Source organism: Homo sapiens, chromosome 18, assembly GCF_000001405.40.
Source record: "Homo sapiens chromosome 18, GRCh38.p14 Primary Assembly".
Taxonomy (NCBI): Eukaryota; Metazoa; Chordata; class Mammalia; order Primates; family Hominidae; genus Homo; species Homo sapiens.
The window spans coordinates 23,216,394-23,244,389 of NC_000018.10; the positions used below are offsets into that span (position 1 = coordinate 23,216,394).

The 27,996-nt window shown below is 48.0% G+C and overlaps 2 protein-coding genes across 6 annotated transcripts in view, besides 5 other annotated features; one reads left to right on the forward strand and one right to left on the reverse strand.

Annotated features, from left to right (window-relative positions):
- CABLES1 (Cdk5 and Abl enzyme substrate 1) overlaps positions 1-27,996 on the forward strand; it is a 125,907-nt gene that overhangs the window by 81,830 nt on the left and 16,081 nt on the right. For 3 of the 4 annotated variants that reach the window (NM_001256438.1, NM_001100619.3, NM_138375.3), the window contains exons 5-7: positions 18,215-18,311; positions 19,502-19,658; positions 20,749-20,852. The exons of the other annotated variant lie outside the window; for it this stretch is intronic. In NM_001256438.1, coding sequence (NP_001243367.1) covers positions 18,215-18,311; positions 19,502-19,658; positions 20,749-20,852 — 358 coding nt within the window. The remainder of the gene's footprint in view (positions 1-18,214; positions 18,312-19,501; positions 19,659-20,748; positions 20,853-27,996) is intronic. 4 annotated transcript variants of the gene reach the window in all.
- Positions 10,260-10,359: an enhancer, noted in NCBI's record as "active region_13146". NCBI's record gives its function as "activates an Ori minimal core promoter by ATAC-STARR-seq in GM12878 lymphoblastoid cells {active_cell/tissue: GM12878}" and the evidence as "EXISTENCE:reporter gene assay evidence [ECO:0000049][PMID:35858748]".
- Positions 15,348-15,507: an enhancer, noted in NCBI's record as "active region_13147". NCBI's record gives its function as "activates an Ori minimal core promoter by ATAC-STARR-seq in GM12878 lymphoblastoid cells {active_cell/tissue: GM12878}" and the evidence as "EXISTENCE:reporter gene assay evidence [ECO:0000049][PMID:35858748]".
- Positions 15,628-15,677: an enhancer, noted in NCBI's record as "active region_13148". NCBI's record gives its function as "activates an Ori minimal core promoter by ATAC-STARR-seq in GM12878 lymphoblastoid cells {active_cell/tissue: GM12878}" and the evidence as "EXISTENCE:reporter gene assay evidence [ECO:0000049][PMID:35858748]".
- Positions 21,180-21,369: an enhancer, noted in NCBI's record as "active region_13149". NCBI's record gives its function as "activates an Ori minimal core promoter by ATAC-STARR-seq in GM12878 lymphoblastoid cells {active_cell/tissue: GM12878}" and the evidence as "EXISTENCE:reporter gene assay evidence [ECO:0000049][PMID:35858748]".
- Positions 21,380-21,499: an enhancer, noted in NCBI's record as "active region_13150". NCBI's record gives its function as "activates an Ori minimal core promoter by ATAC-STARR-seq in GM12878 lymphoblastoid cells {active_cell/tissue: GM12878}" and the evidence as "EXISTENCE:reporter gene assay evidence [ECO:0000049][PMID:35858748]".
- The window catches only part of SLC35D4 (solute carrier family 35 member D4), a 199,440-nt gene continuing 193,572 nt past the window's right edge, over positions 22,129-27,996 (reverse strand). For both annotated transcript variants that reach the window (XM_047437896.1, XM_047437894.1), the window contains one exon: positions 22,129-27,831. In XM_047437896.1, coding sequence (XP_047293852.1) covers positions 27,801-27,831 — 31 coding nt within the window. In that variant the 3' untranslated portion in view covers positions 22,129-27,800. The remainder of the gene's footprint in view (positions 27,832-27,996) is intronic.

Consider the following 27,996-nt stretch of genomic DNA (forward strand, 5'->3'; position numbering starts at 1 on the left):
AAACCTTGCTGCGAAATGGAGCTTTTCTGGTATCTGCCTCCCAGAGGTTAACTGTAGCTCCCAGGAGTGAGTGGATCCAAGGTTTCCAGCATGGCACGTGGCATGCAGAGAAGTGCTAGGGCCCACTCAGCAAGGACCCCATATTTCTGACAGTAAAAAAGAATCATTGTGAAGAACTTGGGAGATTTAGAATTTTTATTACTTATTAGCTTCTGTGAGCTTCCATTGGCTCCTCTGTAGAATGGGGAAGTTTCTACCTCACACCATTAACTTGAAGATAACGACATTTCTGCAAAGCCATTAGGAAGCTGTTTTAACTTAAATTACCCAGGAAGAGGGCACTCAGACCATCTCCACTGGACATCCTTGTGGATATGCGTGGCCCTCCACTCTTCAACATCTCAGGGAAATGCTAGGTGGCAGCCAGTTGGTGCTAGGAAACAGTGTCTGTTCATGCCTGGGTCTCCTTCTTGCTGCTTGGGAAGGCCTCCTGTGTTGCAGAAAGGGCCACTGCATAGGATATTCAGCAGATTTGGCTGCTGTGTTGGCCCTGGACAGAGAAGCAAAATGAGTGTGTGGGATCCCACCTTTTACATCCTAGGTGTGAACAGATTCAAATCCACTATTCCTCCAGATTTTATAGATGAGGAAACCAAGGTGCACAAGAGGGATTTTTTTGTTTTGTTTTTTGTTTTTGTTTGTTTTTGAGACAGGATTTTGCTTTGTTGCCCAGGCTGGAATGCAGTGGCACAAACATGGCTCGCTGCAGTCTCGAACTCCTACGCTCGAGCCATCCACCTGCCTCAGTCTCCCAAGTAGCTAGGACTACAGTCGCGCGCCACCACACCCAGCTAATTTTTAAAATTTTTAGTAGAGATGAGATCTCGCCATGTTGCCCAGACTGGTCTCAAACTCCTGGACTCAAGTGATCCTCCTGCCTCGGCCTCCTAAAGTGTTGGGATTACAGGTGTAAGCCACTGTACCCAGCTAGAAGAGGATTTTTTTCTATAACAAAAAAATCTTCAGGTCCTTTGTCAGACCTAACAGAAAAGAACATGTTCGTTTCTGCAGCACAGTCTACCTCTGTACTCACCCAAGAAACACTGAGCACAATTCCAAATATTGTGATGTAGCAGCAGGATTAAGAAGCAGAATGCTTTTTAAACTTTTCAATGAGCAGACATTGTATTTATAAACAACCCACTTAACCATAATTATGATTTTTAAATTTTTTTTTACTAATTGGGAAACAACTATGCTCAAATTAAAATGTACTAGTAAGTATATGCTAGTAAAAGTTTACTAGTAAATATACGAATAAATATATACACACACATATTTTAAACAACTTCAGTTCATGTACATATTAACTAATGCCTTTCCACAGTGGAAAATTCCTTTACTTTTACGCTGAAGTTCTTTTTGTGACTGGGACGTAAGTCATAGAATTTCAGGGGTGGAAAGGCCTTCCTGCTTCGCAGCTGAGGCACAGTGGGGCGAAGCTCACCCACAGCCCCACACCTGGCAGAGTCAGCAACACCGGAATTTGGGACCCGGGCTGCCCCAGCCTGCCGGGCCATGCTTTCTGGCCTCCATGTTTCCATTGTACTCATGCACATGGACCCAGCCACATGGGCCTGATTATTCCAAACAAGCACAACACCCCCGCCACCCCACCGATTAAGGGGCTAATGTGCAGCTCCAACTTCATCACAAGAAAGTTCTAAAAACAGGAATCTCGTAGTTCGTCTGCTGGGTACTTGAGCCTCCTTCCCATGGAAAGCATCTGTCGGGGTGGCCTGAACTTTCTGGGTTTGTTTTCTGGCCACTTGTGCTGCACTCAAGCTTCCCAGCCCTGCCTCCCACATCCTCACTTGCCCTGCCTCCCGCATCCTCACTTGCCCTGCCTCCCGCATCCTCACTTGCCCTGCCTCCCGCATCCTCACTTGCCCTGCCTCCCGCATCCTCACTTGCCCTGGCTCCCGCATCCTCACTTGCCCTGGTTCCCGCATCCTCACTTGCCCTGCCTCCCGCATCCTCACTTGCCCTGCCTCCCGCATCCTCACTTGCCCTGCCTCCCGCATCCTCACTTGCCCTGCCTCCCGCATCCTCACTTGCCCTGCCTCCCGCATCCTCACTTGCCCTGGCTCCCGCATCCTCACTTGCCCTGCCTCCCGCATCCTCACTTGCCCTGCCTCCCGCATCCTCACTTGCCCTGGCTCCCGCATCCTCACTTGCCCTGCCTCCCGCATCCTCACTTGCCCTGGCTCCCGCATCCTCACTTGCCCTGCCTCCCACCATGGCCTCCACATTTTGTTCTTGGCTTTAACTTGAACACTGATTGTGGATTCTGACATTAGTTGATCAAAGCAGACAGACCAACCTTAGGAGGGCTTTCTATAATACTACCTATTCATTCATTCTTTTATGCATTAGGTCACTTGTTCTGCTCCCAGCGAATTAAGGCCCTGATGGAGGCTGGGGAAGGGGTGGGGAGGAATGAGTTACCAATCCCAAGACAATGGAGGGTGGGCAGGGAGGCACTGGAGAACACTGGAGCTGCCCACAAATCCTGACCAACACCCACAATTATAGTAAATGTACAGTGTTAAGTAAAAGCAGGGTGTTTGCTATGTAAAATTTCTTTATCCCCACCCCCCCGCAAGTGCCTTGCCATACCAGCATGCCACCTATGTGGAGGTTTAGGGGCTACCATTGTACAGCAGAATTCACTCACCTGCAGCCTGGTGAGCACCTACTGTGTGCTGGGCACTGCCATCCTGCCTTGGGTACACTGGTGAAAGAGAAAATGTCTCTCTGTGTGTGGAGCCTACTCTCCGTGCCATCCCTCTGGTCCTCTGTCTGAGTAGGAGACGGGAATAAGCTAGTAAACCAATCATCAAACAAAATAGCAAAAACATTGAGTCCTAAGCAATGTCTGATTAGAGCAGAGGAAGGAGTTGGGTGAATTCAGATGGCAGGATCCGATGTAGTGCCCAGCGAAGGCGATTCTTCAGTTAGACTTGGAAGTGTGAGACCTTAGAGACATGAGAAAGGATATTGCATCCTCAGCGTTGACTTCTGAGGATGCCAGCGGATGATCCAGCTCCTCGTGAACTCTCAGGCAGGGCCTGCCCTGTTGAGAGATTTAGTGATGCCTTATTCAAGCTGGAGTCCCATTTCCCAGCCACACTCAGCATCCAGACCACTGTAGTGAGGGGCAGGGGAGAGGGCTGGGGACAGGAGTGAGCTCTGACATATGGGCCCATCACTTAGCCCTCCTGAGTCTCAGACCCCTCATCTATAAAATGGGGATGTTTAACCAGATACTACAAGGACCCTGTGAGTGCAAAAGGTTGTTCTCATTCTTGTCAGTGCTGCTGATGCAGAAGCAGTAAGTTGTGTTGAACAAGGAATTTATGAATGAAACACACTGTCCACACTCCCCATCTGTCAATAATCAGCAACTTCTCGAGCACCTACCTGAATATTAATATTCATTGAGTTTCTTAAAATTGAGATTTTTTAAAAATGGGCAGATCTGGTGGCTTCTTGCCACTGTATTGGGCACATTTTTTCTTGGTGTGGGCCGCGAGGCTAGGGGCTTCATCACCCTGGGCTTGGGAACACTGGAAAATGTTTGGGGTCGTTTTGCATGCCACCAGGTTTAGACCAAGCTGATAAGGGATCGGCCTCACAGTGATCTCTAGAGCTGCTGCTTGAAGCAGACTGCCCGAGTATCTAACAGCCACCGCAGTCTCCAGCATGCTCTTCCTTACCGTGATGTATGGGTGTGGATATTTGAGAGAAAAGCACATTTCTCTAGGATTAACGAAGGGTGCAGTCAAGCATGTGTGTGAATGTGATAAATAGAGGTAATAATAGAAACATCCTGAATAGTGCTTACAGTGTATGGCATCCCAGGCACTGGTCCACATGCTTTATATGCGCTCACTCGTTTCATCTGCCCAACAGCCTCATAAGGCAGGTGCCAGTATTACCATTTTACTTGAGGCTAGGGGCTGAGAAAGGCTTAGCAACTGCCCAAGTGGCAGTAGGTGGGGGTAGGTGGGGGCAGGCAGTGTGGCCGCAGATCTGCCCTGTTGTGTTTGCTGCTGTGGAGCCGGTTCAGCCCGGGAAGCTGGAATGCACACTTGAGAACCAAGTGTGTTTCCCTTCATGATCGCGCCTTTGGGGCTGGGTGTGCTGGCTCGGGACCAGTACAGGCAGGCAGCACTGGCTGACTGGTATGCATTTTGGTGAAGATGGAGCTCGGAGGTCACAGCTCTCATAGGTGTGCCACACACGGGCTGCCCTCTGGGGACACCAGCTGCTGAGCTGATGGGTTGTAGCTTTCAGAAGGCTTTGGAGCTTGCTGGTTCACCCTGCAGACTTGGATGCTCCCAAGGCAAATACCAGACATCTCTGGGTGGAGTCTTAAGTGAAAAATAATCTGTGTAATTTCCCCATCTGGATATTTGTCGTCTTTAGAATAGGAAGGTGTGTGGAGTGTGTGGAGCTGGTGAAATTCTCCTGGTGTCTGTATGGTGTTGATGCACTGGCTCTCTGCAGAGGTGTGGGTGTTCCTGGCTCATGACCCTGAAGTGCTGCCAGCTCGAGTCTCCCTGGCACCTTTTCCCCGATACACCCAAGTTGCCCCCTGAGCACCTTCAGGAAGCCATTTAGGGAGCAGTAAGGGTCTTTCTCATGTCCTGATACCATACATGAAGAACGCTTCTCTTTGAGAAAGGGTGCAGCATTGTTGCATTAGAGGATTCCTTATCACAGTACCAGGCATGTCTTCACTTCACAAAAGGATTTGTGGCAGGGCCACAGAGCTTTCTAAACTGCTCATAAAATATTGTTTGATTTACAGAGTTTGCTTGAATTCGATAGGAAATCGTCTGCTAGATATAATGAGATGCTTCTGATAACTGTCCGTCTTCATGTTCTTTTACTTTAGGAATTCAAAGTCTTGCCTGCAGCATGAACCCCTAGTGGCTCTGAGAGACACAGAGGCGTGGAATAGAGGGTAGTGTATGCTCAGTGTCCTGAGTTGCAGACATTGGAGTCCCCTCTGATGGTTGGGGTGTGGGGCTGTGGTTTTCAGGTACCTTACAGGATTTCCAGGACAGACAGAAACCAGCACAGACACCCAGGACCAACACAGTGAGGGTAACACAGCCAGGACCCACTTACAGCCATACCCTGGGGCTCTTCCCATGGAAGTGCTGTTGACGCTGCCATCTGGGGCCCCCACCTTAGGCTTGCCAGAAGTTCTGATCTCCCCAGGTGTTACTTCCACCTCCAGGTTTCCCATGAGTGCTTCCACTTAGCAGAACCTAGGCCCCCTGTGGGAGCCTGGAAAATGTAGTTTTTAACAGTTACCTGGGTATCATGAGCTAGTCTATGGTCTCTGCCACAGTGGTTCACCAAAAGATCTGCCTGTCCCCAAACTGAACCTGGGGAGACTGAAGAACCCCAGATCAGGGAGAACTCAAGCCCCTGATCCAAGCCTGGCCGAGGAGGGAGCCCTCAGGGAACCACGGGTCGCTAAGAAGCTTAGAAGGTGCCTTCCTTCCCCATAGGTGTGCTCCTGTTAAGGACAAGACAGTGTCTAGTGAGACTGCATAGATGTCCAAACGGATTTCCAAAGCCCAGGAGCTCTGGATTCAGTCAGGCCTAACTTAAAACCTCCTTTGTGGTCCCCCAGACTTAACAGAAACAGGGCCCTTGAGGCTCTGGCCTTGGCGTTCCTCTCCAGCCCTCTCTCAGCACAGCTCCTCTCTCAGCCCTAGCAAGCTACCCATAGTTCCTTAATGCATCAGGCTCTCCTCACCTTTGGGGATACTCAGCCCTCCCTCCAGGCAGCTTTCTCAGTGCCCCCCAGCACCTGTTCCCCCACCCCCAGCTCCACTAAGAGCCCCTTCCTGTCTCAGGGCTTATAATATACATTTTAACTTATTTTTCACTTGTGGGTGTGGATTGCATCTTAATCCTCAAGGTATCTGCAGCACTGTGCACAGAAAGTAGTGGTCACTCTGGTTTTATGTGTTGGGTGAGTAGAAGCAAGGTTTCTGAAACTTTCGAGAATTGCTATGTTTATGAATATAGTGCTCACGTTCTCTCTCTCTCTCTGTCTCTCTCTCTATATATATCTATATATAGATATATATAGATTAGATATATAGATATATATAATTAGATATATAGATATATACACAGATATAGATATAGATATAGATATATATTGCCCCAACAAAGGACAGCCGGACTGCTTCAGCAGAAGCAAGTGCATCTCTCAGGGTCCCTCAGCCTGGCACCTCATCCTTGAGGGCACCTCCATAAAAGGATGGAGTTGGATGGTTGGCCATAAGGAAGGCCCAGAAGGTGCTAACACGGATGAGCTGACATGGACCTCAGGGTCCTGCTTCTCTCCAAGTGACTCTGTCCCACCCACAGTGAAAGTCAAAGTTGCTAAGCCTGAAGTGACAAAAGAGGGCGTCGAGCTGCACCCAGATGCAAGTGCTAAGCCCCAGCGAGGCCCCTCCCACCCACTAGCCAGGTGACTCCCCCCGCATTAGCCTCGCAGCCTGTGCAGTTCTCTCCGATCACGAGTGCTCTGCACCTACAGAGCCGCTTACAAATACTTGCACCCTGAATGTTAAGCCCAAGGATGCCAAGGGCCTTTAGATAAGGTCACACTGGCTTCTGCAGTCTTTGCTCGAGCCCTGTTGGAATTCCCTGGCTTTTGGCTGACAGGTTTATCTAGTCCTCTACCAACTCAGGTTGTCTGAACATCTCCAAACCAGCAGCATGTGAGCAACATGTAAGTCACACAGCCCCATATTGAGCAGGACATATTCAGATTGCATCTAGCCTAGAGTAAGAAGAGGGCATTTTTGGTTGGGTGCGGTGGCTCACACCTGTAATCCCAGCACTTTGGGAGGCCGAGGCGGGCGAATCATGAGGTCAGGAGTTTGAGACCAGCCTGGCCGACATGATGAAACCCCGTCTCTACTAAAATACAAAAAATTAGCCGGACGTACTGGCAGGCGCCTGAAATCACAGCTACTCGGGAGGCTGAGGCAGGAGAATCTCTTGAGCCCGGGAGGTGGAGGTTGCAGTGAGCCGAGATCTCGCCATTGCATTCCAGCCTGGGCAACAGAATGAGACTCCGTCTCAGAAAAAAAAAAAAAAAAAAAAGTTGGCGGGGGGGCATTTTTCCCAAGCTCGGTTCTGTAGAGAGTGGGATGCTCTATCCTGTCCCTGGAGCCCCTCTCTGTGTCTAGGGTGGACTGAAGCCCCTGCCTGCATCCTCTCCGCCACCACCCACCCGCACTCATCCACACACAATCTACTCCTTATTGCCAGGCCCTTCTGAAGCCCAGCATGGCCATCTCTAATCAGGTGCATGTGTTAGGAAGCTGTCAGGACTTACTGGCATGCATTGAATAAAGACTGGGTATGGGTTGTGCCCACGCCTTTCAAATAACACAGCTGTTGATCCCAGAGTCCCACTAATCATTACCAGGGATAGATTGCACGGCCACTTCTGCTTGGGGTGGCCCTGAGCTAATTCATTAAAGGGTATGTGAAGTGGAAGATAGTTAAGGTAAAGGTAATGCCAGACCAAAAATGAGTTCCGTAGTAAGGAGCACTCTTCAGCTCAAATATAGTCTTTTAAAGCTGGAAGGAACTTGGAGACTGTCGGCTTCCACTTTTTTTTTTTTTTTTTTAAGCTGAAGAAGCCATTCTTCCAGTATCAGTTTACATAGAATTCCAATAAATAAAACAGCTAAACAGAGAGCTCTTCTGGAGAATCAGGAATGGGCACAAGTAGCCCATTCATCCCCACTCCTGCCATCCACCTCCTTTGGTGCCTCCATTAGGAAAACCACAGCCCTTACCCATCCTTGCTGTCGTGTACCCATGGGCACCGGCGGCCAGGGAGGCAGTGTGGTGCTTGGGAACGAGCTGGCAGGCAGAAGCCTCAGTCCTGGGAAATGAACTAGCCTTACTGACCCCAGCTTCACTCCTCCGTAAAAGGACTATAATGTCCACCTCAGGGAGATGAATGAAATAGTAAATGAAATATTATATGTGAAAGCTGTAGTAGATATTCATTAAGCATTAGTTTCACTTCCATTTTTGTCCAGTCACAGAGCTTTTTTTTTTTTTTTTTTTTTTTTGGAGACAGAGTCTCTCTCAGTTGCTCAGGCTGGAGTGCACTGGCGGGGTCTCGGCTCACTGCAAGCTCCGCCTCCTGGGTTCACGCCATTCTCCTGCCACAGCCTCCTGAGTAGCTGGGATTACAGGTGCCCGCCACTACACCCGGCTAATTTTTTTGTATTTTTAGTAGAGACGGGGTTTCACCATGCTAGCCAGGATGGTCTCGATCTCCTGACCTCGTGATCTGCCTGTCTCAGCCTCCCAAAGTACTGGGATTACAGGCGTGAGCCACCGCACCCGGCCTTCTTTTTCTTTCTTTTTGAGAAAGGTCTCACTGTATTGCCCAGGCTGGAGTGCAGTAGTGCAATCTCAGCTCACTGCAGCCTTGACCTCCCAGGCTCAAGCGATCCTCCTACCTCAGCTTCCTGCGTAGCTGGGATGACAGGCATGCACCACCACGCCCAGCTAATTTTTGTATTTTTTGTAGAGTCGGGTTTCACCATGCTGCCCAGGCTGGTCTCAAAATCCTGGGCTCAAGCCATCCTCCCACCTCGGCCTTCTAAAGTGCTGGGATTACAGGTGTGAGCCACCGTGCCCGGCCATCACAGAGCTATTATGTTGCTCTTTCTAGATCTACTTGAACTTAGCAGTTCCCAGTCAGGTTCACAGTGAGTTTGTCAGTGGTGCAATTCTACAAATAATGGATTCACCTTGAGATCTGCTTTTATTCAGTCTTTTTTTCCTCAATAGTACATGTTTCTTAAAGACTATTTGAAAAATGTATAAAAGTAAAAGGAAGATAACAATTATTGAGCCTCACCTCCTAAACAAAGCCACCATTTACATTTTGGTCTATTTCCTTCCAGTCTTTTTTTTTTTTCTTAATGCATACACTTTATGGAACGTGAGGAGACCATTGTTTTGCTTTGATCTTTCTTGCTAAATCCTACCTTTCAAAACAAGCCCATTACAGAGAAGAGGAACAGATGTTGCCCAGCTTTTTCACTGTAACTGTAACATCAAACCTTCCCATAGCTGTAAACACTCTTCTCAGATGAAGCTTGTAAATTATGCCATTTTCTGGGAAGAGTCCCAGCCTTAAACCAGCTCCTTTTTCCTCAACTAACACTTGCCAAGGCCAGCCTGAATCTTTCTGCCTTTTATCCACATTAGTCACGGCCTTCTCTTTTCTAGTGTGGATTTGTGGTTTGGCTTGGTGACCCTCAGCTCACAAAATGAGTTGCAAGCAACTTTCTCAACTTTCCTAAATAGGCAGACCCCACTTAGTAAACAGCTTGTCCAACACTTCTATCCAAGACCACTTCTCTTCCCCTCGCTTTCCAGCCCCCATTGTGGGCTACTGTGCCACCGCCATAGGGCCAGGAGTGGGAAACCTGGGCCCTGCAAAGGAATTTATGGATTTACATGTAGAGAGAGGGAAGGAATTGTGAAAAACAGGAATAGCTTAGGGGAAAGGGTCCTGGAGTCCTAAGAAGGAAAGGGAAGTTCAGAGAAGAAGGTGAAATAATACAAACTTGACCTTTAAAGTGTTACTCAGCTGGGCACAGTGGCTCATGCCTGTAATCCCAGTACTTTGGGAGACCGAGGTGGGCGGATCACAAGGTCAGGAGTTCAAGACCAGCCTGGCCAACATAGTGACACCCCATCTCTACTAAAATTACAAAAATTAGCCGGGCATGGTGGCATGTGCCCGTAGTCCCAGCTACTCGGGAGGCTGAGGCAGGAGAATTGCTTGAACCTGAGAAGTGGAGGTTGCAGTGAGCCAAGATCGTGCCATTGCACTCCAGCTTGGGCAACAGAGTGAGACTTCATCTCAAAAAAAAAAAAAAAAAGTTCCTGAGGGTCAAGCCTGGACCAGGAAACCAAGAGGAGAGACTCAACTTCCTCCTATTTTTTTACCCTCATACACCCTCTGACCTTTTGCTTCTATGACCCGAGCTCTTGTTTTTGCTTTTGGGCTGATTCAGTTACATTATAGGCTCAGAGAGCCTTGGGTAGGCTAATCTCCACTTACTGCATCAATGAAAAATGCATTCTGAGTTCCAACTTGCCAGCCCAGGAGCTTCTAGAGCACGACCCACTGGTGAGTGAGAGACTGCAGGTGTTGTATGGAGAACTAGTCCTAGAATTGTCCCTATGCATAAGGGAACCGACACCAGCCACCAAGTGCTCTTTACTTCCTGAGATCTGGATGTGGGTTGGTATTTCTGTACACATGGATCCGACCAGAAGAAAGTAGGAGAGAACCTAGTAAACTTGAGATTGGAGGTTATGTGAAATCACCAAACTAGATGATTCCAGCAAAAAGAGTTTCTGTGATGTGTGTGTAGGTTCACACCCCTTAAGATAACCATACTTGACTGTATGATAGTCGCAGGAGTCACTTACTTACTACAGATGCATCAGAGACCATGTGATGAAGAAGATGGCTTCCCAGTGGAGTTGCAAGGTGCCTCTGGGGGGTGTGTTTTTAAATTGTCAACAGCTTCCACATGGTGTTTATATCCTTAACTTTTGGCATTGGGGGCATTCAGATGAGGTCATCCGCTTGGGTCCATTTCCTGAGTGTTGATCATTTTGCGACACAGAGAACAGCGTCTTCTATTCTTAGAGCCTTCAAGCCTAAATGCTCCCTGCCTGGCTCCAGGCCCATGCCCCCTTCCTCCCCACCCACTTTCCCCAGAAAATTTTTGTTGTGGAAAATTACACATTCACAAATTGTGTTTCTTTCCTCACACCAAGCATATTCCCACACAGAGACAGATTCTGGAATGATCTCATGGATGACTCATGCCATTATCTGGCTGTTTATAGGAGCTGCCTTTAGACAAAGATTTGGTCATAAGCTACGTTAAGACCCCTTCATTGTCTGCCAGTTGCCCTTGCAGGGGATGGCTTATGGCTTATCGATGGAGTCCTGAGTGGGAGTGGGAAGGGACTTCTAGACTAAAAGCTGCTTTTGACTTCACTTTTGTCCATCAACTGTGGACCCTGTTCCATTGTCTCTGAACTCTGGAGGCACCTTCTGCTTGATGTCAGCAAGCAGGCCTGGTCCAAGATGGCAGCTGCACTGTATCGGAAGGGCAACAAACGGGACTCTTAAGCTAAGGGGAAGACTTGTGTCGTCGACTTCCGGCCCATGTGTAATCTCTTAATTAAAATTTAGCTCACAAGTGGTATTTCCTTTCGTAATCCAGCTTTCAGGCTTTGCTTTAGGTGCAGGAAATCTCTCACTCCTTATTCTCTTTGAAGGGTCTGGAAATCCTGTTAATATTTAATTGGCTTTTAAATTATTGACACATCAAAGTGTTCAACCTATTGTTGTCCTTTGAAGAGCTAGCGCCTAGTGGAGCTCCTGGCAGGTGTTCCAAGTTCTTGGGCTTAGAGCACCATTAGAGAAAGGATGGTGGAGAGAAGTCAGGACCACTCCATTTTGGAAGCAGAAAGCCTTGGAACCTAGTTAATTGGATCACACTTTTTCCATCTAGTTTCCAGGTGTTAGATATTTAAGTCTTGTCTTTTTTTAAGAGAGTAATATTAATTAGTTCATTGATCATGCTCCCTGAGGAAAGGGCCATAGCTTGAACTTCTTGTTATCTAATAGGGAATCTTGTTTTCCTGTCAGAATCTGTTTCATGCATTATGGCTCAGTGAGCAGCTGGCTGGGCCTCTGCCAGGGAGCCACAGAAGAGGAAACTAAAAATCATTTTGCCTTTTACAAAAGATGAAGTCCAGAGTCGGCCGTTTTATGATTAATAATGACCTAGGTATTCCCCTTTGGCCCCAAGATAGCTAGATTAGCCACCTGCTTTGATCAGGTGACTCCACAGCTGTGCATGTGTGCTTTGTGCTGAAGAAGCCAAAACTAAGACAGGGGTCCAGGGGTTTCTAACAGTGAAATTACAGGCATTCAAGGAGAGCTACATTAAATTAATTTTGGTGCCATCCTATGAAGGATGAGTTTACACTCCCAAAATGAACCAGCCTGTTTTTCTGCTCATTGCTTAACGGTATAACTGCTGCTTGGCTGTCTCCCCAAATGTGCTTTTACCTCCTGTTTTAATCCCCACCCCCATCTTCTGAGTCCCTCCCTTTTACCCCCTCCAGTCACTCCCACTCCCCCACCCCCGTGGGCCAGTTTTAAATGTCAGCCTTTGTTTAAAAAAAAAAAAAAAAAAAGTATATATCTTTGTGCTGGATTTTCAGTGTGCTTGTTGCCTACAGCCTCTGCAGAAGTTCACAAACTTGCACAGAATGTGAAAGCAGCTCCTCTAGGTACATGTGGCTAAGCTGCAGCGCTACCCAGGACTGTAGAGAGAAGGAATGACAACCTTGCATCGTCCACAGTTCCTTGCCAGTAGTTCAGTTAGGGTGTCTGTAGAAATGAGATCACTTCCTATAACCTGACTAACCGTGTTCACCTCTGAGTAAAAGCTGCAACATTTTAACCTAATATACACAACTTTAGACAATATTCATGTGTAGTATTTGAACTTGCCTCTATGCCATTTTTAAAAGGAAGTGGAATATAAGTAAATTAGTAGGGCCAGGCACGGTGGCTCACGGCTGCAACCCCAGCACTTTAGGAGGCTGAGGAGGGCGGATCAACTGAGTTCAGGGGTTCAAGACCACCTGGCCAACGTGGTGAAACCCCATCTCTACTAAAAATACAAAAATTACCCGGGTGTGGTGGCAGGCGCCTGTAATCCCAGCTACTCGGGAGGCTGAGGCAGGAGAATCGCTTGAACCTGGGAGGCAGAGGTTGCAGTGAGCCGAGATCGCACCACTGCACTCCAGCCTAGGCAACAAGAGTAAAACTCCATCTCAAAAATTATTAAAAAATAAATTAGTATTTGAACACTAGATGTGTCTGGGAAAAATCTGGCTCTTTCAAAGAAAGTGAAAACTTCAACTTCAGTTTGCTTTTAATTACTTTCAGCTGCAGTTCGACATTCTCTAGCTCTATTTCCTGGTGCTGGAGAGTTAGTGCTGGCATTTCAGCCAAACAGATATTTCTATTTTTAATATACCATTTTAATGAGAATTCAGAACAATGATCTTAGAAAATACCAAGATTTCATCACACTCCACTGGGACTTCTGCTTCATTCTTTCTCACTGGAGTTTTTAAAAGATTCTTTTGGAGCGAATCTCCACCATTCAGAGTTCCTTTCTGCATGCAACTCCAACGTTCTAGGCTTCCAAAAGAGAGGGACAGCAAAGACCATGGGTCTTGCCTGCTTTTCACTCACACATAAAGACTGAGCAGTTGCCTGAGCTGTTAAGCTATGTGGCACAATGTGAAACTGCTGTTTATGGGGGTCAAGTACGACCAAAGAACAGCAATTTCATGTTTCATGTTAATATCAGAAAGATTCCAGCAACATTGATCAGAGCCCTTACCTAAGAAGAATGAACCCGGAAAAGTTTGTCAGCCTCTTTGTGAAAGATGTATTTTTTAGATCCCAAGAGTCTTAACATATACAAATTAAAAAGCTATGAGAAGGGCCAGGCGCGGTGGCTCACACCTGTAATCCCAGCACTTTGGGAGGCCAGGCGGGCGGATCACAAGGTCAGGAGATCGAGACCATCCTGGCTAATATGGTGAAACCCTGTCTCTACTAAAAATACAAAAAATTAGCCGGGCATGGCGGCAGGCGCCTGTAGTCCCAGCTACTCGGGAGGCTGAGGCAGGAGAATGGCATGAACCCAGGAGGCGGAGCTTGCAGTGAGCTGAGATCGCACCACTGCACTCCAGCCTGGGTGACAGAGCAAGACTCCATCTCAAAACAAAAACAAAAAAAACCTATAAGAAACTGACATTGTTAGAAATGAGATCTGTTTTGTTTTCTGTGGACGGCTGACTATGCCCACGCCTGTACGTGTATGCTCTTAATTCCAGGCCAGCAAAATGGTAGCCCTGAAGTTAGTGATAACCTCTCCCTGAATCTGAGGGAGGAAAAGCGTGGAAAAGTTGCCCTCTGCCATCACGAAGCTGTCAGTGTTCTAGAGCTGAGATGATATTTATTACTGTATCAGCGAAGTTTTGAAGTGTGACTAGCTTTGGCGTACAAGAAATACCTCATTTCTTCTTTTTAAATCTACTTAATATGAACTGTAAACCCCCCTTCTACAAGGCTGAGGGGAAATTGAGACTCACTTTTCACTGGGCATTCCTCCCTCCCCATCTCCAGTATTGTGCAAAGAAGGGCCTGGAACCTACTGTAATGCCTAGGATTTGGGGAACACATGCTGGTTGTTGTTCCTTTGGTTGCCCTAGCACTGCCAAAACTGTCACACCCGCCCCGTGACCCCTCCAGGCAAAAAGATCTGCTGCTCTGTGCCAGATGTGAATTACGAATCTTTATCATGGCTGGGAGCCCTGTTCTTGGGGTGCTGATGGTGCAAGGCATGGGTCCCATTTGATCATGGACCCCATGGTCATTTCCCTTCCGACTTAGGAGAATCTTGCACTGCTGCTCCCTCTGCAGTGGCCTGTAATTTAAACATCCCCAGAGGCAATAGGCAGAAAATAGGCCACTCTTGGGAAGAAAACTGGGAGACCAAATCCATGTCACTGAGTATCTATGACTATATTATCTTGCCATAGGAACTTATAAAATAAGGGTAGCAAAAGTCCTGCCAAGGAAGCACTGGGTCTTAGTAGTCACTAGCCACATGTGGCAATTTACATTTAAATTAATTAAAATTAAATAAAAATTCAGTTTCTCAGTCAACTGTTCACATTTCAAGCACTTAGTTGCCACACGTAACCATCGTATGGAACACGGTAGATAAGGACCATCTCCGTCATCACAGGAAGTTCTGTTGCGTGGCACTGGTCTGTAACAAGCCTCACGTGTCTCCAGTAGCAGTTGAGGGTGGCCCCACTATTCTTGCTTATTTTCTTACTCGGCTTAGCCTTAGCAATTTAGAAAGTAGAATGACGTAAGTAGAAAGCCAGGGGGAAGTGGTGACTGCAGTGAGTCACGTTATTTCTCGAGGGACCAGTTCTGTGGGTAGGGTTGGTGGAGCCTTGCCCGTCTTTCTTGTGGTCCCAAGTGTCGCTGAGACGCTTGGACAATCCACTGGAATCCCTGTTTCTAAGAATCCCTGTTTCTTTAAATGGGTTTGGGTTTTATCTCATGGAATAGAATCTTGGACTTTATACGAGCACATGACTATATTTTTTTTTTGTTAGGGCTTCATTTCCTTTGGAGGAAATGCCAAGAAGGGGAGTGTGGAAGAGGCGCGACTGGTTTGGTTCTGTTAACTGTGATGTGTGATGTGCACATTTGGCGGCAGGCAGACAGCTGGCCAGGACAAGGCTGCCCCGGGGAAGCAGTGAGCCTGTGAGCAAATTGAAGACAGATGAAAAGGGGCACAGTGGAAAATCACCCAAGTTTCATGCCATCTGCATGTACCAGTACCGGCGAGACAGCAAAGAGCCACACTAGCTCAGCTCAGTAAATAGTTCGTTACATATCAGACGTTGTATAGACAGGATATGAAAATGGACTGAGACTGCCCCTGCCTGCAGCCAGCTCTCCATCTGAGAACCCTCTCAGTATGGGCTTATTGGAATTCTCCTTATTTCCCTTGGCCTACTCACTCCAAAAAGATATTCCCTACTTCTCTCTTAATTTCAGCCCTAAGTAACATTCTCCATCTGGCAAAATGGAAACAAGGAGAAAATTATTTGGGAGTTGGGAATTTGAAGACCATGCTTGCTGGCTTTGGCTTTGGAAAAGTAGGAAGCCCATGGAACTGAGCTGCTGGTCCTTGAATGAAAAGGAAGACACTGCTGTTTTTGTCCTGCTCTGCATGTGGTCAGTCCCCTCCCTCCCTGCCCACCGCAGGTATTTTTGCTTCATTGCCTTGTTCACGTTTTTGCTTTGTAGGCACTTCCCTATGCCAGTGCCCCTGTGCATTCATCATCTCCATCCTTAATTGCTTTAAGAAGCCTTTTGAGAATCGCCCTGGGGTGCCTGCATAGCAGCTGCAGCAGTAGGGCAGACGGTCTTGTGGGTGTGAACAGAGTTGGTTGTTGGCTTTCTTCTGCATGACTTTGGTGTCGATTCTGAACGGGACTCCAGAGATGTTTTGAGGGTGGCACTACCATGGCCTCCCAGGAAGCCTGCTGTGGAAATGCAGCACTTACTGGGCACAGAAGGTCTTGGGCATTTCTGTTAATTAGACTCCACATTATGGGTAGGATAAGGGAGCCGGCTCATTCATGTAATGCCCAGAGACTAGGATGATGGCTCAACAGAATCAGAGCATCCCTGTTTTTTTTTCTATATTGGAGGATAGCTTTTTTCCCTTCTCTTCTCACCACTCGCTTGGCTCCCTCCTCTCTTCTTACCTGATGACTTTGTCTTTGGCTGGGAGCAATTTGCCCCTGCCTTATATTCGTTCTTGCATAGGTTGTAGGAGATGACCCCTGAATATGGTCCCTCCATCCAGGCCACACAGCAAGTATGCTGTGGGTCTGAGGTGCCTTTGACTAACAGGCACTGGATGTCAGAACATGAAGACCTGGTCATTCCCAAACATGGCTGCAGTTTAGAATCGCCTGGGGAGTGTTTAAAACTCCTGGTGTCCAGGTCACAGCCCATGCCAACTGCCTGGGGGTGGGAGCCAGATAACAGTTTGTCAGAGATCCCCGTACAATTCTGATATGTGGCAAATTTTAAAAATTACCGTAGGGGAAGGGTGTGGTCCTTTGAGGTGTGAGCAGTTACACCTGAGCATAGGTCCATCTTGCATCTCCACGGCAATGTGATGTACTAGAAATGACATTGGATGAACTCTCCAACCTACCGTCCTGGTGACCTTGGCAATCTCCCAAGGGCCTCAGTTTCCTCCTCTGTAAATTGGATCAAAATAGTAGTACCTTTCTCATAGGGTCATCTTAAAGAACCAAAGAAATGATGTGTGAGTCTTTGGAAATAGTAAAGTGCTAAATAAATGCTTGTTTGGCCAGGCATGGTAGCTCACACCTGTAATCCCAGCACTTTAGGAGGCCAAGACGGGAGGATGGCTTGCGCCCAAGAGTTTGAGGCTACAGTGAGCCATGATCACACCACTGTACTCCATCCTGAGCAACAGAGCAAGGCTTCATCCCTGAATGAATGAATGAATGATTACTTGTTATTACTAGAGATTATTCCTCTATTAAAAGATATTCATTTTCTAGGTGGTCTGTCAAGGTAGAAGTGACTACTGTGGCATTAATTCTTTCATCACCAACAATAAACCCAGTAGGTGTTTAGGATAAGAATTCATTTCTCCTAAGAAAGGGGAGCAGCAAGGAGAGGTGGTCTCATGCAGCATTAGAAAGAACCCAGGCTGGCTGCTGTGGCTCACGCCTGTAATCCCAGCACTTTGGGAGGCTGAGATGGGTGGATCACCTGAGGTCAGGAGTTTGAGACCAGCCTGGCCAACATAGTGAAACCCCGTCTGTACTAAAAATACAAAAAATTAGCCGGCCGTGGTGGTGCGCGCCTGTAATCCCAGCTACTCAGGAGGCTGAGGCAGAAGAATCGCTTGAACCTGGGAGGCAGAAGTTGCAGTCAGCCGAGATCGTGCCATTGCATTGCAGCCTGGGCAACAAGAGTGAAACTCCGTCTCAGAACAAAACAAAAAAACAAAGAAAGAAAGAACCCAGCAGCTAGATCCCAGCAAACTGTGGTCCCACGATGCCCAGGGAATGCTCTCTGGCCTCATGTTCATTGGCCGTCTCTAGGAATATAAGGGGCCTCATGGAAGAGGGAGGGATGTCTGTAAACCATCAGCTTCATCTTCAGGCTTTCTGTTCAGTTGGATTTCATTTATGTCAAAGTGGTTGCAACAAGGCATCACTGGCAAGCGCCCGAAGAGGGACAACGGGCTGTCCCATCACCAGGGCTCACCTGGTCATTTTCATCGGTGTGACTGTGTTGTCTCATGGAGTAAGCATCCTCATGGCTCTTTGAGGTGCACACAAAAGCATTTTTTTTTCCTCTGACTTGTCCTCCCAGGGACTTGAAGTTGGACGGAGGAAGACAATCAACTGGTGCAGTGAGTTTGAAAGAGATCATTGGTCTGGAAGGTGTGGAGCTGGGTGCTGATGGGAAGGTAAGGCTGCCAGGCTGCCAGTCACCAAGTTGTGCTGAAGGCACAAGGGTCAGGAAGCAGAGGAGGGGGGCAGCCCACAAGCCTCTCTTGAGGTGGAGGACTCGAGGTCTGGGGCAGATTCCCAGGCATGTGATGCCAGCCTGCCCGGCTCCCCTAGTGTGCAGCCGGTGATTGAGTAGCAGCATGGCAGGAGTTCCCACAGCATGTGTATTTCTCTGTCAGTGCTGTTTACAACTGAATGTACAGTTTTGAGTACCTCACACACAGACATGTTCCAGGATGGAATGACGAATGGATTGAACATCTATTAACTAGTGGTGTCAGCAAGCAATATTCAGGCTACTAGAAAGTGTCATAGCTTCCCATGGTCCTGGGAAGCTAAGAGACCCTCAGTCTTACACTGTGACCACAGAGCCCCAGGGCGGTCACATTCCTCTTCCATCCACATGCAACGAGTCGTGGGGTTGAAGTCTCAGGAGTGAAAGGTTGAAAGATGACCCTGCCCTTTGTGCAGGGTCCAGACGGTCCTCATCAACCCTTTCAAAATCTGTGTATGGCAATGACGCAAGTGTTTCTTGGGGAATCTGTCCCGGGGTAGTTTGTTTGCCGATGAGGCTGCTGGGAGCTCAAGGTGTAGATAGAGCGCATGTGAGATGCTCGCCTGGGCAGGTGAAAATCAATGCACTTGCTCTGTTCACCCCTAACGAGGAAGTGTTCCCATAGGAGCCAGGAAGGATGGGATGGAGTGGAGGGTCATATGTGGCGTCTGCCAGAGGAGCAGGGTAGGAGGCCATGGCCCTCACCAGGGACTCTTGGGGCCTGAAGTGTTCTGGGCTTCTGCACTTGGATTATAAAAAGCAATGCAGCGTGTGCCTTGTGGATTACACAACACCACAGCAGGTCCTGAGATAGTACCTTATAGTCAAATACATTCACATTTCTTCCATGTAATAGGAATAGTCAGACCCAGTGGGATAAATTAAAACTCTGTAGCCTTATGTCAGTTCAGGTTGGGTGTTGGCACCAATGAGTACCAAAACAAATTTCATTTTTCAGATCTCATTGAATTTCAGAATTGCAAATAGGAGAAAGTGGACCTGAATGTGGGGTGACAACTGTAGCTTGATCAGAATGCAGAGCTAGCAATGCCTGGGAATAATCACTGGCCTGTTTTTGTCTTCACCTTTTAGACTGTTTCCTATACCCAATTTCTGTTACCCACAAATGCCTTTGGAGCCCGGAGAAATACCATAGACTCCACCTCCTCTTTCTCCCAGTTCCGTAACCTGAGCCACCGCAGCCTCTCCATAGGCCGGGCAAGCGGCACCCAGGGGAGCCTCGACACAGGTAACCTTGGCCTGGCTGGGTCTGGTAGCTCGTGGTGGGAGGGAGGTGCCTCCATTTACATGGGGATTGAGTCTCCCTGTGATGCAGACTGGAAGACAGGGGCTCGCAGGTGACATGACTTTTAGGAAAGCCTGATCTCAAGCCATGCAGGCCCGCAATGAAGCCGCAGGTGATTTCTCTCTAATCAGATGACCCAGTCGTTGACAGCCTGAGCTTCCACGTGGAGAGACGCCAAGGCCGTGCACACCATGTAGAGATGGCTGTGTCTCCCAGCTTCCCTGACCACTCAGCTCCCCCCAACAATGACCTGGTTCTGTCCTATATTTTCATGGTGCTCAATTCGGACTTTAAAAAAAAAAATCTGGGCTCTGAAGTGCAGGTTCAGGTGTGAGAGTTTCCTTTGTGCCTATCTTGGTGGGTGAGCTGAGTTGGCGGCTGAAGGAAGACTTGCATGCTTCCAGCTTTGCTGATCAAACCTTTGTAAGAACTGGCACGTGGAGAAAACACTTTAGGAAGCAGTGCCGTGTCTACTCTCAGGGAAATTCCAGGTGGATGTGAAGTTCCCTAGGTCTGCCCAAGTGCTGAGTTCTGAATCCCTGTCCTAGTGTTCCGGCCACCTCTGATCGTTCGCAGCTGTGCCTTGGTGGCCGCTCTGATTTGTATTCATACGGACACAATAGCATGCCTGGAAGTATTCGCACCAAATCGTGCTGCACAGGCGTCTCCAAATTTGATCTGCAAGTTTGAAAAAGGAACCTCTTCGGGGCCACACTCTGAGAGTGTCTTCTGCATCTTGCACGCTGTGTGAAGTTTTTTGCTCTCCTGGCCCAGGGAGATTAAGACATAATTTTCTAAAATGGAAAAAAATGTCAGGATGTTAACAATTTGGTGAACCCTTTTAAGAGGAGAATCCACTTCACTGGCACACGGAGATGTCTAATAAAAGTCAGTGAGTGCCGTGACGTTGAGCTAAGTGCCCTAAAGCCAGCCTTTCTTCATTCCAGCTATACTTGGCATTCTCCTGGCTGTCTCTGCTGGGGAGGGTCCGGAGCCGCTAATTATCATTTTGCATTTTGCATGTGATCTTCAGGTAGTGACCTGGGAGACTTTATGGACTATGACCCAAATCTCTTGGATGACCCCCAGTGGCCTTGTGGCAAACACAAACGCGTTCTGATCTTCCCTTCCTACATGGTGAGTAGCGTGGAATGGAGGCTCCGTTTGCTGCACCGTCAGTTGCCCCACCTGGGTTGGTGGCCGGCTGGGGGCTTGTTCAAAGACTGCTCTGCCTGGGGGACCTTCATGAGGAGCTCCCCGGTGTGGGTGCCCACGGAAGGACCAGTATTGCCTCCTGTCCAGAATCCTGCTGGCCACCTGGCCTGCAAACACCACTTTCAAGGCTGGGCTGCCAGTGTCCACAAAGTCACCAGCTCAGGTTGGGGGACCCTCTCCTCTGAAGGGGGATGTCCGAGCTTATACCTCCACAAACCCCCGTGGAGAGGACCAGGCCCATCCCTGGTAGCGCTGAGTTCAAGTCCAGCTCCGTTTGGAGTTCCTTGGTGGCTGCAGGCCTTCGTGTGCATGCTGAGCAAACATTTGGCCCCAGGCTGGGGATGACAGAATTCTCTCCTGGGAAAGTGAAAGTAGGACACTGTGGGTGTTACATGCAAAACCTTTCTCTGCTGTTTTTATTTCATGGACTCTTCCTGTTTTTCCCTGTGTGTAATTTTGGTTTCTGCTCTCGGCTGACCACTGTTTCCCACCACCAAGGGCTGCCATCTCCTCTGCAGACACCAGAGGGGCCTGGCGGGGCCCTGGGCGCTTTCTCTGGGCCGACTTGCCCTGACTCTTGCGGCAAGCAGAGCCCCGCCTGCTGTGGGAGGAGGGGGAGCTGCACTTTCAGAACAGTCGATTGGCCAGGCCTGCCATGCACAGCATCAGGTGGGAGACATCCACCCAGAATGCCCCCACCACCTCCCTGCGTTTTGCATGTCCTGGCCCATGAGCCGGGCCTGGCGGGGCCGGCACAGCCGAGCGCTTCCTCCTCTGGTTCCCTCCCTCCTGTGCTCCCAGCCTGAGCTGTTCTCTGGAGCCCCAGCCTTAGGAGTGAACCAGGGGGTCTTTTTTCTCCCCTCGGCTTTTGTGTCTGCAGTAGCCAGAGTGGAAACCAATCCCCCGTACTCAAAGGAAACCCAGATCTTCATTCAGAACTGAGGGTTCTCCGCTGTTTGTCAGAGAAACACCAGGCAGAACTTGGGGCCTTGCCAGTTACTTTCAGCACTTATCCTCTTGTTCTTTGGCACATAGTTCAGTGGTCATTTTCGTATGCCACACGGCGTCAGAATGCATTTAGTCATTGGAGAATTTATTCAAGTCAAAGGCATTTAGTTTGAAATTGCCGCTTCTCCTCACTCTCCCTCACTCATGCCCCAACTTCTAACACAGAAAGCAAAATCAGAGTCATGTATAATTACTTTTCTTCCACTCTATGATCTGTTTATTTAAAAAACCAGGGCATATTCATCTTTGGCAGAGGCAAGCACGTAATAAGTGTTCAATAAATGACCAGAATGATTGCCCTGATGTCAAGGAGGGAGCAACTGGTGTAAGAATAAGGATGCTTTATGTGGTTCACTGCCTTACTTATTAAAATTCACTTTATTTATTAAGCAACATGGCCAGGAAACTGGCTCAGGGAGTCCAAGTGAGGCTTTCCTAGTTGATAGACAGGAAATGGGGGATCCAGGCTAGAGCTCCTGGCTCGAGGCTGTTTTCACGTTGCCCAGCTGTCTCTGAATTCCACATTCCTCAGCAGTCAGCCCCACAACTGCCGACCTCGGGGTTGGACATGAAGATCATTCTTTGGGCCAACAGTGTAGCAGATTTCTAGGTAACCAAGAGAATAGGAAGGTACACTATTTCGATGTTGGCGGGAGCTGTCCTAACAGACACGTGCCTGGTGATAATGCCGACCTCTCCTTTTATAGGCCTAGTGTTGGGCTGGTGCTAGATCTGATCTTTTTTATCTGATCTTTTTTTTCTTTAAATGATTTCATTGTGAGCCTTGAGGTTCCAGGCCGCAGTATGTGTGTATGTGCGTGTGCACGTATACACATACAACTTTTCCTCCTTAGACTGTGCTAGAAGACTTGCCAAGTCAGCATGTATGTCCTGCCCTCCTCATTTGATGTTCCCAAGTGGATCATTTTTAATTTCACTGCATTGGCTCTGCAGTCAGTGCTTCTGGGAATAGTCCATGCTATAGAGAATGGAATTGCGCATGGACTGCATTTTCCTGGTCGGCTCCTGGAGACCTATGTTTCCTATTCTGGCCACAGATGTTGGCACTTTGATAAAATGTGGGAAATCCACGTTTCAGAATTCTCGTCTAAGTTCTTGACAGTGTGTTGTGTATTACAAAGGGCCTCAACCCCCCAGCTCCCTGGAGACTTCTTTCCTAGAAGCCGACATGGGTTACAGGCCGTTTCTCATGCATTTGCATTGAACTTGTAGGAAACAGAGTGGGGCAGTTGGGGGTGGGGGCGCTGGGGTGTTTGCTTTATTTTTGTGTGTTGGGGAACAGGTATAGAATTCGCCTGTTGAACCAAGTATTGATTGAGGCCTTATTATGAGCCAAGCTTCCTTACCCAGTAGAGAACTAACCAGCCACAACCCCTCTTCTCCTCCACCTTGGAGTGAGTGGGGATGTCAGAGAGTAAACAGTAAACAAGGAGACAGAGCACCATAATCGTGAGGAAGGAACCATCTTAGAAAAGCAGCAGGAGACCAGGCATGGTGGCTCACGCCTGTAATCCCAGAACTTTGGGAGGCCAAGGCAGGTGGATCACCTGAGGTCAGGAGTTTGGGACCAGCCTGGCCAACGTGGTAAAACCCCATCTCTACTAAAAATAAAAAAATTAGCCAGGTGTGGTGTTGCGCGCCTGTAGTCCCAGCTACTGGAGAGGCTGAGGTGGGAGAATTGCTTGAACCCAGGAGGCAGAGGCTGCAGTGAGCTGAGATTGTGCCACTGCACTCCAGCCTGGACAATAAAGCAAGACCCTGTCTCAACAAAACAAAACAAAAACAGCGGCAGGAAATGATGGAAGGGTTGGACGTGGGCCCCAGGGGGTAGGCCTCAAGGAAGACTTCCCCGAGGAATGGCACTGAAGCAAGCACTGAGGGCTGAGAGTGGTTGGCCCCACCAGGTTTTGGTAGGGAGAGCCCAGTGGAAAGACCCCAAAGTAGGAAGGGGGTTGGTTTTGCATAAAATAGATTTTTCTAACTGTAGAAGTCGTTGCCCTTCCCCCTACACACACACAGGCAGGAGGCAGAGCCCACAAATGATGATGCCGACAAACCCTCCCTCCCCACTGACTCGGCCCCAGGCACAGGGAGCTGCCGCTGAAACAGGCCCTGGCTCCAAAGACCCTGGCTCCTTTGAGCCAGGTTGTGGAATGCCCTCTTTGAGGGCCTGGGGCACATTTGGCCACTAGGCTAGTGTGAGGATCTCTGCCCAGACAGAGGGCAGATTCCCTCCTGGGTGGGAATGCTCAGTGATTGGGGAAGGAGCAGGCTTGTTGGTCACAGGCCAATTATGCAGAGCTGCTCACCTCCCTTAGTATTAGCTTCCAAAGCCCCAGAGTCCTGCTGCCTGTCCCGTCTTCCTCGGGCCCCCAGGGCAGTCCAATGTGGCCAGCCCAGCAGAGGCGCCCACCTGAAATCCTGGGACTGTCCTCCCCTGTTTTGGGATGTCCTGTTCCTGTGGAAATCAGACTCTGAGATGCCTCTGCTGAATGAAGCAGCTCTCAAAGTGATGAGCTAATCCTTTCACCCATCAAATCCTGCTGCAGCCGCTAAAAGGAGTAATTTACAGACAATCAGATGCACTTGTTTGTTTGAAGTGTGCATTTCCATGAATTCTGTAACCACTGCTCTGATCCAGATATAGAGCATTTCTGTCCCTGCAGAAAGTTCTCCTCCCCATCCCATTCTTCCCATCCCCTTCCTGCAAAAGCAATTACTATTCTCACTTCTGTCACCATAGATTAGTTTTACCTATTCTGAAACTTCATGTGAATAGGATCATGGCATATACTTTTTGGGGTCCATCTTCCTTCATACAACTTAACATGTGAGATTTCCCCATGTCATGTGTGTCAGTAGATTTTTTTTTTTAATTGCTGAGTGGGCCACGTGCAGTGGATCACGCCTATAAATCCCAGCACTTTGGGAGGCCGAGGTGGGTAAGGTGGGGGGATCACTTGAGGTCAAGAGTTTAAGACCAGCCTGGCTAACGTGATGAAACTCTGTCTCTACTAAAAATACAAAAATTAGCTGGGCATAGTGGCAGGCACCTGTAATCCCAGCTACCCTGCAGGCTGAGGCAGGAGAATCGCTTAAACCCGGGAGGTGGAGGTTGCAGTGAGCCGAGATCACACTATTCACTTCAGCCTGGGCGACAAGCGAAACTACGTCTCAAAAAAATAAAAATAAAAATGCTCAGTGATATAAGATGTAGTACAGTTTGTTTATCCCTCCTCCTGTTGATAGATATTTGTTCATGCGGCTGCCATGAATGTTCTTGTGCATGGCTTTCTGTGGAAATACTTTTTAATTTCTCTTGGGGTAAATACCTAGGAGTGGGACTTCTGAGTCCTGGTGTAGGTGATATTAACCAGCCATGATGTAGCTGAATGTTTATCTTTGTGCGTGTGTGTCCTAAGTGTAATATAAAAAGGCCCCTCGTCGCCACAGTCAGGACATGTCTTAGAGTGGGAAGCTTCCAGAGGTGAAGCCTGTCATTTAGTGTGCAAGTGGCACCCTTTTCAAATTAGCCTTGCACCCATATCTGTATTTTTAAACTTTGATCCATGCAAGTCACTCCCACTGTTACCTACTGTAGAAGGTCAAGGGTGAGATTTTGAACTTAAAAAAAAATTCCGGGCCAGGTGCAGTGGCTCACGCCTGTAATCCCTGCACTTTGGAAGGCCGAGGCGGGTGGATCACCTGAGGTCAGGAGTTCAAGAGCAGCCTGACCAACGTGGTGAAACACCATCTTTACTAAAAATACAACAAAATGAGCCAGGTGTAGTGGCAGGCGCCTGTAATCCTGGCTACTCAGGAGGCTGAGGCAGGAGAATCGCTTGAACCCAGGAGGCAGAAGTTGCAGTGAGCTGAGATCACACTATTGCACTCCAGCCTGGGTGACGAGAATGAAACTCTGTCTCAAAAAAAAAATTCCTGGGGCAGGTGTGCAAAACAAATTGCAGCTGGCCCGGTGGTTTGGTCTTCAAGTTTCTAGAAGGTGACCACAGAACAGAGAATGTTGAGCCACCTGGCTACGTGCAGACTCTTGCTGGGTGATGGTGTGTCTCAGGGGAGGGCGGATGCTTCCAGCTCTCTGCACCTCTTGGCATATAATTAAAGCTTCATGAGAGAGTGGTTATGTATCATTAGAACGTGGCAGCCCAGGTCGGTAGTGGGTTTTTGTGTTTTTTTCCCCCTCTTTATGGGTGTGGAAGGCAATTAAGAGGAGAAAGTAAGTGGGAGAGCTGAGATAATGCCAACAAAATTCAGTTACCTGAATGGATTTCTGGATTCTTTTCTTCTGTAAGAAATCCCTCTTGCACTGTGTTCACATCAAAAAGAAAACCGACTAACATTGTTTATGATATGCATAAGCATGTAAACCTCAAGAGAAACCTCTTGGATTAATCTCCATGATAAAATGCCTATTTTTTATTTACCGAATATTAAAATCTAAGTACTTGTAGAGAAAGCCCTCCCTCTACCCCTACATCTCCCCAGTGTTGGGGGAATGTATCATAGAACTTAATTTTTCAGTACAGCATGAGATGCTGAGCAGTGGGAAGTAATTGACTCAATGAAAGAAAGACTAATTCAGCCTTCCATGAGGTAGGTGATTAGATTCTGCCTGTCCCCCAATATACATACAGTATAAATATATATTTATAAATATAGATAAGTTATAATTTAATAACATACTCATATATTTATTATAATTTATATAGAATATAGAACTATATATATATCTATTTCCATTAAAAGTTACCTGGATGATTTAGGCACTTGTTACCTGTCTGCAGGGTGGATTTGTTGGGAAGCTAATGCAAGACCCTTTCCATGGCCTCAGGTTTCAAGGTGCCTGAGGCTTATTCAGTTCTGAGGAGGGGGCCTCTTTAAGAAAATGTCACATCACATTAGAAGCACAGTAGCTCCGCACTTCCCTATTATTGTGGCACTTCCCTGAGGCTTGAAGGGCGCCCTCAGGCGCACAGGCCTGGGCAGTAGCTGAGGAGCATCCTGCCAGCTTTAGGTTAAGTGTTCACATCAAGGCCTGAAATGCCTGATTGTGCTGTGTGGGGGAGGGAGGGTTGTTTTGGGTGTGGGTTTGGTGTTTTTTTTTTTTTTTTTTTTTGGTCTTTTTGTTGTTGTTAACAGCACTATTAGAATTCCAACACCATACAATTCACCTCTTTAAAGCCTCTTTTACAATTCATTTTTTTCTCATAAAACTAACACAGGCCTCGGTGGCTCATGCCTGTAATCCCAGCACTTTGGGAGGCCAAGGCGGGTGGATCACCTGAGGTCAGGAGTTTGAGACCATTCTGGCCAACATGGCAAAACCGTCTCTACTAAAAAATACAAAAATTAGCCAGGTGTGGTGGCAGGTGCCTGTAATCCCAGTTACTCAGGAGGCTGAGGCAGGAGAATCGCTTGAACCCGGGAGGCAGAGGTTGCAGTGAGCCGAGATCACGCCACTGTACCCCGGCCTGGGCGATAAGACCAAGACTCCGTTTCAAAAAAAAAAAAAAAAAACTAATACAAAACAAGAGTTTGACATTTCACCCAAGATTTTGCAGCATCTGCTCTCTATGTATTTGTCTCAGATTTTTGACAGTCGCTTCGTGATTTTGACATTTCACCCAGGATATTGCAACATCTGCTCTCTTTCTATGTATTTGTCTCGGATTTTTGACAATCACTTCGTGATTTTGAACATGACGTTCCACGCAGTTTGGCTCATTCTCTACTGCCACTGTTTCAGCAGCTTGCGTTTAGAAGTGCATCCAAATACTCTCTGGGTGTGGGTGATCTCAGGGCCAGTCACCTGGTGTCATCTCAAGTGGATGGAGACACTACTCCAGGAGTCCTGTAGCACCAGATAAATAGTTGACAAATATTTGACACTGAACATGCTCTGTGCCACCCAGTGAATCCCCATGGCCATGTAAACCTGAAGCAGAGAGAGCTTTTCTTCCTGTGTTCCTCTCCGTGTGCAAACCCTTTCATTTCAGTGGGAGGGAGAGTTGATCCA